The following is a 12,975-nucleotide window of genomic DNA, read 5'->3' as shown; positions in this document are numbered from 1 at the left end:
CATCTAGGAATTTTCAGAGCTTTAAATGTTGAAGAATTGTTATTTAATGCACCAAAGTGGAATATGTTAGCTACTCCATCTGGTGGATAAGATGAACCTCAGATTATCTCATGGTACCCTTCTTGTCAAACACCTTTGGTTTCCTATTTTGGTAAAATTTATAGCTGCCTATTTTAGTGTGGAACCATGATATATTTTTGGAAATAATCTTCCCGTATTTTTATTAACATTGGTAGAATTGAAAGTAAATCTTTTAGTACACATAATTACATGTAAGCTACCCCCTTACCATGGGTTAGTCAGTATTGTGAAAATTGAGAAGCTAGTATAGAATGATCTGGTAAAGTGGTTGGTGATGATAAAAATATAAAGACATTACACAAACACATTCCAGATATCTAAATCTAATGCATCTTTAAATAGGTTTTGTGGGTATTTTTTCCTTTCTTCAGTGTGTTAAGGTTCCTAGATAAATAATTATTTATTAGGGTTATTTCAAGGATAACCTTTGATATTTGCATTCAGTTTTCAAGTCATAATTCCAGCAGTTGTTTAAAATTTACACCGTTTATTCAGCTGGTGCTCATTTTCAATCTTTTTTTTGTCATGACTTTTCTGCAGTTCTACATTTTGAGACACACATATCGTATGTGTGCGTGTGTGTGTGTGTGTGTTCAGTTTCAGTTTACTGGCATATGTTTCTAGAAAACTTTTAGGATAAGTACATACAAGGTTTATTTTGGGATTTCTTGCATATGTTGCTTTCATATGTAAACTATAGTATAAAATTCTGGGTTGGAATATTTTTTCTCAAAATTTTGGAGATGTTGCTCCCTTTTTTCTGACATTTATTTGTGTAGACATGTCTGAAACCAGCCTACTTTTGTTCTTTTCTAAAACCTTTACAATTTTTTTTTTGGTCCTGCCTTGGAACTTGGACTAATAATAATAATTACAACAAGAACAACAACAGTAATAAATGGTCTGTGTAATTCAGTTTGCTAAGTTATGTCTAGTTCTGGTCTCTTTTCATTAATTTTTTCTGGAGTACCGTCAGTCCTTTTGATCCATACACTGAAGTATTGTTTTCATTTCAGAAAAGTTTAGTTCGGTTATAATTTTGATGATTGCCTCAGTTGCATTTGTTTTCATTTCTTCAAAGAAATTCAGTAATATAAAGCTGAAGGCAATATCGCTTAGAGGCTAGGAGCATAGCTCTGTATTCCAGCTGCCTGGGCTGGCATTCCCACTTGGTGTGTGAAGTTGGGCATGTTGCTGGCCTGGCAGTGCCTCCCTCTCCCCATCTTGGCAGTGGGAGGCCCCTGAGGAGTGTTGTGAGGTGCAGGGGATATGGTAAGCTGTCAGTTATGTATTAATTGTTTTTATTGCTAACCATTCATTTTTAATCCATTGCAGTCTGGCCTCTTCCTGTCTCCCATTATTGTACCTGAACTTTTCAAGGCAAGAGGGTGAATGATTAAGCACTATTTACCCTTCTCCTCCTTTTGGCAATACATAGGTTGTATAGAAAATTGTTCATTCATATTGTGTGACGTCTCACACATATACTTTGCTTTCTCATTTTTAGCCTTTTATTTCTGTGTAGTCAGGGAGAGTTCCTCTACTTGTTTATTCCCTTCTCTGATTCACTTTTCTTCCAAAGTCAGTTTTGTGTCTTACTGCTTCCTGGAGTAGATTTTTATTGCATTTTGCATTTTTAATTTGTCTGAAATCTTTCCCAATTCTGTTTTCATATCAGCCTGATATATATTTAATTTTTTTAAAATTAGAACTTTTTGGCCAGTGCAGTGGCTCACGCCTGTAATCCCAGCACTTTGGGAGGCCGAAGCGGGCAGATCACGGGGTCAGGAAATCGAGACCATCCTGACTAACACGGTGAAACCCCATCTCTACTAAAAATACAAAAAATTAGCCGGGTGTGGCGGCGGGCACCTGTAGTCCCAGCTACTCGGGAGGCTGAGGCAGGAGAATGGTGTGAATCCGGGAGGCAGAGCTTGCAGTGAGCTGAGATCACGCCACTGCACTCCAGCCTGGGTGACAGAGTGAGACTCCATCTCAAAAAAAGAAAATAAAAATATAAATAAATAAATAAACAAAAATTACTACTTTTTATATGCCATAGAGTGTCAGATGGGTGTTGTCTAGTGGTTAGCAGTGGAATTATCCTGTCACTTCTTAGCTGTGTGATGTCTGCTAAGTTATTTATACCTCTCTCTACCTCAGCCCATTTCCTCCCCTGTAAAATGGGGATAATAACAGTACCTACTTAATTATTAGGAGGATTAAATGAGTTAATATATGTAAATTACTTGGAATAGAACCTAGAACAGAAAAATCACTTAGTAATTGTGAGCTATTATTATAATCATTGTCGTCATCTTCCTGTTTTTCTGCTCCAGGTTCTTAGAGGTCTGATCTTCTTGTTGTGGTTGCCAAACAGTTTTCTAGTTTTTTCTTTGGTTTCTGGTTAATATTAAGATATTTCTTAAAGCATGGTTTTTCTCCCTTTGAATCTTTGGAATGTTCTGCAGGACTTTTTTAATAGACCTTGGCTATGTTTTTGTTTGATTTGTTTATCCATTCCAGAACAGGCAGATCTCTTCCTCAACCTGGGTTAGCAAACAGATTCAATGTCTAACTTGCCCTTGTTACTGTTTTGGGTATTTTAGAATCCCCTTAGTTCAGCAACAGGGACCCTAAAATGAGCTCAGTTTCCCGTAACTAAATGAAGGCAGCTCCCTGGGGGGAACTAGAGGCTTCTGTCATCACTCTCTGGTCTCTGTTAGTCAGCCTGGGTGGAGAGTATGAAAACCAGCAATCTTGACTGCCAGAGTCCCTTTAGCTACCACTGGAGGTATAATGACAGTTCACATGTCCACCCTATTCTGATTTTTAATGTGTTGTTTGGAAGCAGAAGTTTGAGAGAGGCTGTTACAAGGGAAGTCTAACTGGGAAGGTCATATAGTACTCTGGCCACCTCCGTCCTCATTTCTCTGCATCAGGGCTGTTGCCCAGTGTTCTGGTTGGCAAATACATAGAGTTTCATGCTAAAGTGGAGAATGATTACATCCCTTACTGTTTCATGAGGGTAGGTTTCCTCTATTTCGGGTAACAAAACATGTACCACATACTTCTAAGGTACTCACATGGCTCTCTGGTTTGTAGCTAATGAGAATTCTCCCAGGACTTTGCAGGAGCTTGGTTCTATGGCTCATTGTTAGGAATTTTCTCTTTTTCTTCATTAGGTATTTTTTTTTAGCAGGTTCAGGGTAGTTGTTAGGGCTACTACAGGAGATACCGTTTTCAAAAGGGTCCTCTCTCGTAACCTTTAATTATGTGATTCTTATCTCAGATGAGCTCTTCCCAAAAGCGGAGGGATTCCCTTTACAGATAAGTGTGATTTTCACAGACAAAATGGCAAAATAAATAAAGAGGGAGAGAGAGGGGAAATAAATGAGAATTGTTTTGGATTTTATTATCTTTAGTAGTATAACGTGTGAGCAGCTAGTTTGGCATGTCATAGTAGTGAAATGAACCAAAACATTGAAGATTTTACAAATCACCCTTGTGCTGATACTGACAAAGCTTATGAGATTTGTCTCGTGAAGTTATATGTTTTTTATATTGAAATAGAATATAAGAACACTTGAGGAAAATGTTGCTCAGTTAAACATAGTAATAGAAACTGACCAGAGAGTTCTATTCTTGATTTGCCACCTTCAGCAGTTACTCCTCCAGCCCCTACTGTGGGTATGACAGTGACATTTTTGCTTCTGGCGAATTCTTAAGGATAGTGATGTGTATCGGTGCCTGTTTACTATGAACTTGTTTGATTTTGTTCTCTTTTTTGTTTATTCCTCTTTATCACTATACTCTTATGCCTTCAATATGCATTTTTAATTTTTGAAGGGACATTTATCCTCAGCAATTCCTAATTTAATTTTCAGCATTACATCCACAGTCCCAGTATTTATCCACACATTTACTGATCTGTCAGTCTTTTTCTACAGGCTTATGCATCATTTGTTTACATCTCATATACTTTTCTGCATAATAGAAATCACTTTTTTTCTAAAATTTCTTTATTCCATCTATAAGGCAGAAGGAAGTTTATCCATTTGAATGAATAATCAGCTTCATTTAATTTCAATTTCTGTCATAGAGTGTCCTTAATTCAAAGTCTGATATTCATGTTCTTTTCAGTTTGGCACATATTTAAGGCTTTTGAATGTTTTTTTGTTGTTGTTCTATTCTACTCTTCTTACACTTTAGGTAAAAAGATATCTTTCTTTTTTGCAAATTTCAGTTTATCCTATATAAAGATAGCATGTAGAAGAATAGGATTTAGAAAATCCGGGTTCTGGTTCTAACTCTTCTGCTTATGATTTTTATGACCTTAGGCAAGTCATTTTTCTATAGAATCATCAGTTCAACAGGCATAATGGTATTTGCTCTTAGACCTAGCAGTTTTGCTATGAGGACCAAATGAGGAACAGCAAAACATTGCCAATTGTGCAGACTTCAAAAATATCATTTCGCCTCACCAGAAAGTTTGAGTTTGTTTGTTCAGGGTGGGATTTGGCCATTAGTTTCCAGGAATTTTAACTGTACAGGTGTGTTTGAGAACCACTAAGGTAAAGCATGTTGACACATTTAGGGATGTAAGTTAGTAGCAGTAGTATGAGATTTAGCACAAGACCATGCAGTACATGACCTTATTGTACTGAAAAGAAATAGATTAAGTTAGGAGAAGTTCAGCTTGCTAGTTGAGCAGGTATTCATACTGAGGTAGCTTCATCAAGGTGGCCATTTGTTGATTCACTCCATTAAGATTCCCATGATTCAGGAACCTCCTTCTTTTCACCTGATTTTCTTAGATTTGTTGGGGTCCATCAAGTTAAACTTCCCCAGGTAAAGTGAAACCCTGAATGCAGTGCTTTCCTTTTGTGCTTTTTAGCCATTATTTTATAAGATGTTTGTTATATTATCCTATGCCTATATATTTCCATAAAAGTAATGACTTTATACCCTCTGAACAATGAGCAGCAGGTGATGGGGGGGACATATGTGTATTTGCCATGTGAAGAATACATTTCAAGGCCAGCCTCAGGAAAAATGAAATTCCTTCTGTTTTACATTATATTATCTCCTGTTTGTAGAACCCAAATAACAAACTTGGCACAAGTATATAAAAACAGTAGTTACAAAATGAGTGGATGGTCCCCAAAACTTTAACTTTTAATGCATGAATCTATTTCCCAAAATTATAACATAAGTGAATTTCCTGCTTGGGGCTTGAAAGAATGAACCACTCAGAACTTACCAAGATTAAAATAAGAAGAAATTGAAAGTTTAAGTAGTCCTATATTTATTTTTCAAATAGAATTTATAATTGGAAACCTTTTCACAAAGAAACTATCTTAGTCCATTTGTGTTGCCATAACAAAATACCTTAGACTGGGTAGTTTATAAATAACAGAAATTTATTTCTCACAGTTCTGAAGGCTGGGAAGTCTGATTTCAAGGTGCCAGCATTTGGCATCTGGTGAGGGCTGCTCTCCTTGCTTCCAAGATGGCGCCTTGTTATTGTAACTTCACATGGCAGAAGGGATGAATTATGTGTCCCTGTGTGGCAGAAGGCAGAAGAGCAAAAGGACTAGCTAGTCACCTCAAGCTATAGCTAGTTACCCCAAGCTTTCTTATAAGGGCACCAATCTCACCTATGAGGGCTCCACCTTCATAATTTAATCACTCACTAAAGGCCCTACTTCTTAATACCATCACCTTGGAGGTTAGGTTTCAACACAGTGAATTTGGGGAGAACACATACATTCAGACCATAGCAAAGCCATGAGACCTAGATGGCTTCACCAGTGAATTCCTACAAAAGTTAAAGAAGAATAATACCACTATACTAGAGACTAGAAAGACAGTGAACACATTCCAATGTTGGGAAATAGTTCTCATTGGCTCTAGTACTATTTGTTAGCTCCAAGCATTTGAGATCTCATGGAATTCTTATGCTGAGAGTATAAATAACCATCACTTTGGAGGTTAGGTTTCAACGTAATGAATTTGGGGGAACACAAACATTCAAACTTTCTCATGGTGAGAGCATAATTAATTTGAAACCACTTTGTGAAATGGTTTGCCTATTAAATGTGAACATGCACATAACCTATGACTCAGCAATTCCATTCCAAGGTATACACCCTTCATGAATATGTATATAAGTCCACCAAAAGATTTGCAAAGCATGTTCTTAGCAGCAGTATTCATGATAGCCCCAATCTGGAAACAACCTAAGTGGTCATCAATGGAAGATGGATATGTGAATTGTGATATATTCATACATGAAATAATACCCAGCAGTGGCAAAGAAGCAACCTCTACTATATCCAACAGTGTGGCTAAATCTCACAAAGAAAATGTTAAATAATGAATGAAATAAATCAGTGAAATAGAATATGATTCCTTACTTACAAAATTCTAACACCAGCACAACTTATCCATGCCAGTAGCTTTGAGGGTAGTGATTAGTTGGAGGGTGTTATTTACTGGAAAGGGAAACAAAGGAGCTTATTGGCTTCTATTTCTTGATCAGAGTGATGGTTACACGGATATGTTCGTGTCATAAAAATTCATCAAACTATAAATTTATGATTTGTATTTTTTATAGCATGTGTTTTATATTTCAGTTTTGTTTTTGTTTTGTTGTTGTTAAGTAAAGCACTCAGAAAATATACTAAGTATGAATAAAGTAGCCTGGAACAACTTTAAGGGAGACACTGATAAGCAGGAACTTAAATCTTTCATTTCTGTATTCTCAGTAGATTTAGCATAAGTTGTGAGTGAAGTGTGGTTCACCTAATCTCTTACCACACTGATCTACATGGTTGGTTTATTTTATATATATGAGAGACACTAAAAAAAAATCTCCCCTTTCCTTTAAGGGATGAAAAAATAGTTCCTTTAGGGACAGCTTATGGAAGTTTATAAAAGAATAGTAATAACTTGTTCAAATCTGTTTCATTGTTTTAATGGCATGCATTTAATACAATTTGTGGTGATTGAAGGGAACTCTATCCATGGAATGCTTATGAAAGCTTAATTGCAGCAAAGTACCCTCAACCTGATGGGATTTTCTTTTTTCTTTTTTCTTTTTCTTTTTCTTTTTTTTTTTTTTTGAGACGGAGTCTCACTCTGTCACCCATGCTGGAGTGCAGTGGCGCAATCTCGGCTCTCTGCAACCTCTGCCTCCCAGGTTCAAGCAATTCTCCTATCATCCTCCTGAGTAGCTGGGACTACAGATGCACGCCACCATGCCTGGCTAATTTTCATATTTTTAGTAGAGATGGGGTTTCACCATATTGGTCAGGGTGGTCTTCAACTCCTGACCTTAGGTGATCCACCCACCTCGGCCTCTGCCTCTCAAAGTGCTGGGATTACAGGCGTGAGCCACCGTACGTGGCTGATGGGATTGTTTTCATTAGATATTTAATAGAGGTCACGGGGCCTTAAAATTATTAAATATTCTACTTTTCTTATTGATAGTATGTGTTCATACTGACTCAGTAGCCTTCTCTATTGCTGTCATGGTGAGCTGATACAATCCATTTTCTTTGTAGGTGCAGGTATTTGGACTGTATTCTGGAGAAGAATTTCACGAGACTTTTGACTGTCCCATTAAAGTAAGTATTCAGCAAGTTTTACTTTTTCTAAGGGTTTTCTCAAGTAAGGCAATATGGATTACAGTAATTTGAACATTACCACTTCTGTATTAATTTTGTCAGTAAGTGTCTGTTCAACACTTCAGATGTACTGGATACTATTTAGATGCTGTGAAAGAAGACAGAATGTGTATTTTGTGACTGTGATCTCAGTCTGTCTTCAGGGGTATTTTATTATAGTGAGTGAGATCACTCACACACACATACACACACACACGCACGCACACACACACACGATCTGTGGTAAAAGACTCAAAGAGGTAGGAATAATATTAAGCGTTCCAAAGCTGAAAGGAATCACTTTTAGCTGTTCTTGTCAGTGATGGCTTCATTGGTGGAGTGATGTTTAACTTGGCTTTAATAAATGGAGAAGGACTGATGAGAGAAGCTGGCTTTCCATGTGGAAGAACAACATAATAGAAATGGAGAGGCTAGAAAGTTCACCTTGTGTTCAGGAAATGGCAAATTGTCCAATTTATTTGGTACATAAAAGACTGATTTCACAAGAGAATGTGAAGGAAGATTGGGCTGGCTTTACATTCAGGCTGAAGAATTTGGACTCCATTTGGTAGATAACTAGAAATTACTAAATATTTAAGAACAAAGTAAATAAACTGAACTAAGCTTTAAGAAAATTAATATGGTGACTGTATACAGTATTGATTGAAGGACAGATAAGAGTCAAGAGGACTAGTTTTAGATAAAAATTATGGTAGTTGAGGTGTCTATTATAGTTGTTGAAGGAAGAGGTCATTTATTTTTTTCACCTGTTTATTCAAACATTTATTGACCAGCAGGTAAAGGAGAGATAGGGTCTGATGTATGTTTTAAAAAGTTGAATTTGCCAGAGTGGAGGGTGATTTAAACAGGAGAGTGATTGGGGACAAAAGACAATTTAGAAGCCTAATATAATACTCTAGGCAGGGCATTACAGGATCTCAATGAAAAGAATGATAGTGAGTGTTCAAGATGGAAAGGATGAAATTTATTTGGACAGCCTGTGCTAAATAGACTTAGCGAGCCTTAGTGATGGCTTGGATGAGGGTGATGAAAGACGGAAGAGCTCAGGGTCAGTTCAGGTTCTCGCTTTGGGGATGGGGTGTGGGATGCCATCAGTTGCAGTAGGGTATGTTTGAGTAAGGACATGGCTAGGCTAGTTTGGTCCTGAGTTTAGATAAGTGTAGTACATCAGGTGGGGACGTTACGGAGGTTTTAGAAACATGAATATGGGCCTCAGGATGGAGATTGGCCCTTAAACACAAACGTGATAACCATAGTTGAATAAGGTGAAGCTATTTTTAAAGATATTATCCAATTTAGAGCTGTAGAGTGAGAAGAGAAGACTGATGGTGAAATTCTGGAACACTCTAACTTGAATACTCAGGCTGTGGAAGAAAAAACAGCAAAGGAGTCTAAGAAGAAGCAGTTGGAGGGACTGTAAGGAATCCCGAAGAGTGGTGTCAGAGAAGCCAGGGGAGAGAGGGTTTCTACAAGGAGGAAGTGGTCAGCAGTGTCGAATGCAGTGTGGAGATTAAATAGGGGGAAGGACTGAAACAAGGGCATTCTATGTGGTGATTTTGAAGTTACTGGTGACCTTGCTGAGGACTCTTTTCAGAGCAGGAGGGTCACTATACATGAAGGAATAAATTGGAGATGAGGAAGTAGAAACAATCAGCAGAGACTCTTCTTTAAAGAAATTTAGTAATAAAGAAGAGAGATCATCTGGTAGAGAGAGGGGCCGTGTCCTGGGAAGGTTTTTGCCGACCATGTTTTGGTTCATGGCAAAAACCAGTGAAGAGGAAAAGATTAAAAATAAAGAGAATGCTTCTTGGAGCAGCACTAAGCAATGAGATCAACAGCTTAGGTAGGGAAGATAATCTTGGAAGAGTCCTAGACCCTCTGCCTGTGAAACAGGCATGAAGGAAGTGGACTGAGCCTAGCTATTGCAAGTTAGACAGTGAAGGAGGAGCACTTGTGGGCAATGACCCTGATGGCTTTATTTTCTTACATCTGAAGGGAAGAAAAGGGTAACATAATGTGTTTGAGGAGCAGAGGAGATGTTTGGAATCAGTCCCTGATCTACAGTTATGCATTACGAGAGAGCTAGGGGGAGAGTTTAAGAATGTGAAACAATAGAATGTGTGAATCCTTCACTACTGGTATTGAGGATGGATTAGGAAAGTGTTGAAGGGAAGAAGGGCTAACCTGGGAGGTAGGAGTGTTTAGAGCAATGAAGGATCATATGCTAATCCTTAAAAATGACATTGTAGGAAGAGGAATCTATTCCATTGTAGGAGGGAAATGTGTCAATTAATACAAGTATAAAATATGTTTAATTGAAGGTATATAGAAGTAAAATTGTGTGAGATTTTGTGTGTGTGTTTACCTAAAAAAAATTCTCTATGTTAAATTAGAAAAACACAAAATTAGTTAAGTTGGTGATTTCATGGGTGGTTTGGGGATAAAGAGAGAAGGAGGTGGAGTCTATGCAAGCTTACAGCCACAACAGATGAGCTCCAAAGATGGAGGTGCACTGAGTGGAGCCACGAGGGCTTTTGTTTTCATCCCCTCCCCAAGATGTTAATGATGTTATGTAATCATAAAGCCCTTGCAAATGAAGGAAACAGTAACAAGGGTGGTGGAGCAACCTTAAGAGAAACCTGGGTAGCAAGGGGCTGGAGAAAGATTGGATGAGTGGGAAGCAGATGAGAATCAGGGGAACAGGTTGTATCTAAAAAGCTAAGTCCTGAACGGTTAGCTCTTTGGGCCTGTAGCTCTGTTCTCTCTCCATTGATGGGGTCTTGGTGTAAGTGGGCTAAACGTCTGGGAGGCTGCGTTGCCACTTGGTGCCGTCTATCATTGAGAGTCATCTTGGACAAGGAGTTAGTTGGCTTCTTTCTGTTTTTTTTTTTTTGTTTTGTTTTCTGTAAATTGTATCCAGTTAGAAACAGTTGTGACATCTTGCTACCTTGACCAACCTCCCTTGACCTCCCTTGCTGCCTCTATACAGGTGACATCCACTTATAGGGGTCCTCAGCCAGAAACTAGAACTGACTTATCCTACTCTTTGAGCTTTGACCTGGCTTCAGAGAAGAAATCTTTTCACGTAAGAAGAAAACTCAGATGTCATCAGTTGTTGTAAAATATGATTTGAATATATTACTTCCTACCAAGGTTTCAGGATAATTTTTAGATCATGCTGCTTGAACTGTGTCAGGGGTTTTCATTCTGTGCATTGGCCATGACTCCTAAACCAGAGTTGGGTTCTGTTTCTCTTGTAGATTATTGCTGTGCACCCACATTTCGTGAGATCCAGTTGCAAGCAGTTTGTGACCGGAGGGAAGAAGGTAAGTGCTGTGTGTCTCTACCTTGATATGTAGCCTTGAGGGGTGTTGTGTGCTTACTCTGTAATTTATCCTTAATGTTTTTATGTCTGGCTATTCATTAGGAGAAATTCGAGAAAGACAAATGTAATGAAATCTGATGATCATCATCTCTTGGGGGAGTTGTGGCTTCAGTGTTTCTCACTACATTGCTTTTTTTGTTGAGACGGAGTCTTGCTCTGTCGCCCAGGATGGAGTGCAGTGGCGTGATCTTGGCTCACTGCAGCCTCCGCCTCCTGGGTTCAAGTGGTTCTCCTGCATCAGCCTCACGAGTAGCTGGGATTACGGATGCCCACTATCGTGCCTGGCTAATTTTTGTATTTTTAGTAGAGTTGGGGTTTTGCCATGTCTCTACTAAAGACATGGCCTGGCTGGTCTTGAACTCTTGACCTCAGGTGATCTGCTCTCCTCGGCCTCCCAAAGCCCTGGGATGACAGGCGTGAGCCACTGCGCCCAGCCTCTTGCTACATTTCTTTGAAGTAGATATAGGACAAGAAAATAAGAGAGCTGTTACATCTAGAGCTTTGAAACATTGCCCCTCCCACAAAAAAGAGGCAGCATTTAAAAATAACAAAAGCACACTTAAACTACTGATTTTTTTTTTCCGATTTTTTTTTTCCTTGTAGAAAATCTCTTGCGGGCCTTGATAAACTTTTAGAGCAGTTATGGCTACTCTTCGCTGACATGTTCATGGCACATTTTATTATCTCAGTGCTATTTAAAAAATAAGAGATTGGACTGGGCATAATGGTGGCTCACTCCTATGATTCCAACATTTTGGGAGGCCAAGGTGGGAGGATCACTTGAGGCTGGGAGTTTGAAACCAGCCTGGGCAACGAGTGAGACCGACTCTACAAAAAAATGAAGAAATTAGCTGCGTGTGGTGGTATGCCTCTAGTCCTAGCTATTGAAGAGGCTGAGGTGGGAGGATCACTTGAACCTAGGAGTTTGAGGTTGCAGTGAGCTATAATTGTGCCATTGCACTCCAGCCTGGGTGAAAGAGCAAGACCCTGTCTCTTAAAAAATGTAAAGAGAAATAAGAGAGAAAAACTTTCATATATTAACATTTTTCTGTTTATAGATGTAGTAAATTCTCAAATTAAAGAATCTGTCTGCTTATAGAATAAGTCAAATTAGTTTTTTTTCTGTTTTTATTACTTAGAGATATTTTAAAGACTGTTTTTATACTAAATGCTATCACCATACTGGAACTCCGAATATTATTTACTATTCGGTTTGGAGCCAGTGAAAAGGAAGTAGTCTATAGCTATTTCTGTAGTAGTATAGAGCTATGGAATGGCTGCTTTGAGGCCCAGCTACTGAATGCTTTTAAATGTTTTATGATACTTATCTGTCATTTTCCCTTGGTTCAATAGTTAATAGAATGATAGGGCGGGAAAACCTTCTGGTCATTACATGACTCGTTGTAATGAGTGGCAGGTTGGTAGATCCTGATTCCATTCCACAACATAAAGCCAAGATCACGCCAGTTCTGATTTCTGTTAGAGAGCCCCTCCTTCCCCCATCTCACAGCCCATTGTTATTCTTAGGCTGTAGTTGCATTCACCTTATGTTAAAATGTCCAGGGGACTAATTAGTGGGAATTACAGACCTAATCTCACATTCTCTAGCTTAGGTCTGCAGCTGATCCACTCCTGAAAAAATAACTACCTTACTTGTCTTTGTCTTTGTCAGCCTCAGGAAAGAGTAGCATTAACATTCCTCTCGTATTTCTTCACTAAACACTTTTTGGGTTAAGAAATTTTGTGTATGATTGTATTAGGGTTCTCTAGAGGGAGAGAATTAATAGGATAGATGTGTGTGTGTGTATATATGTGTAT

The 12,975-nt window shown here is 38.4% G+C and overlaps 1 protein-coding gene across 3 annotated transcripts in view; it reads left to right on the top strand.

Moving 5' to 3' along the window:
- VPS41 (VPS41 subunit of HOPS complex) overlaps window positions 1-12,975 on the top strand; it is a 186,218-nt gene that overhangs the window by 80,277 nt on the left and 92,966 nt on the right. For all 3 annotated transcript variants that reach the window (XR_007060008.1, NM_080631.4, NM_014396.4), the window contains 2 exons: window positions 7,650-7,712; window positions 11,033-11,098. Coding sequence is in view for 2 of the 3 variants with exons in the window: in NM_080631.4 (NP_542198.2) it covers window positions 7,650-7,712; window positions 11,033-11,098 (129 nt within the window). In the remaining variant the exon portion in view is untranslated. The remainder of the gene's footprint in view (window positions 1-7,649; window positions 7,713-11,032; window positions 11,099-12,975) is intronic.

Source organism: Homo sapiens, chromosome 7 (assembly GCF_000001405.40).
Source record: "Homo sapiens chromosome 7, GRCh38.p14 Primary Assembly".
Taxonomy (NCBI): Eukaryota; Metazoa; Chordata; class Mammalia; order Primates; family Hominidae; genus Homo; species Homo sapiens.
The sequence above is the reverse complement of the archived record's forward strand: the minus strand, read 5'-3'. Positions and strand labels throughout refer to the sequence as shown.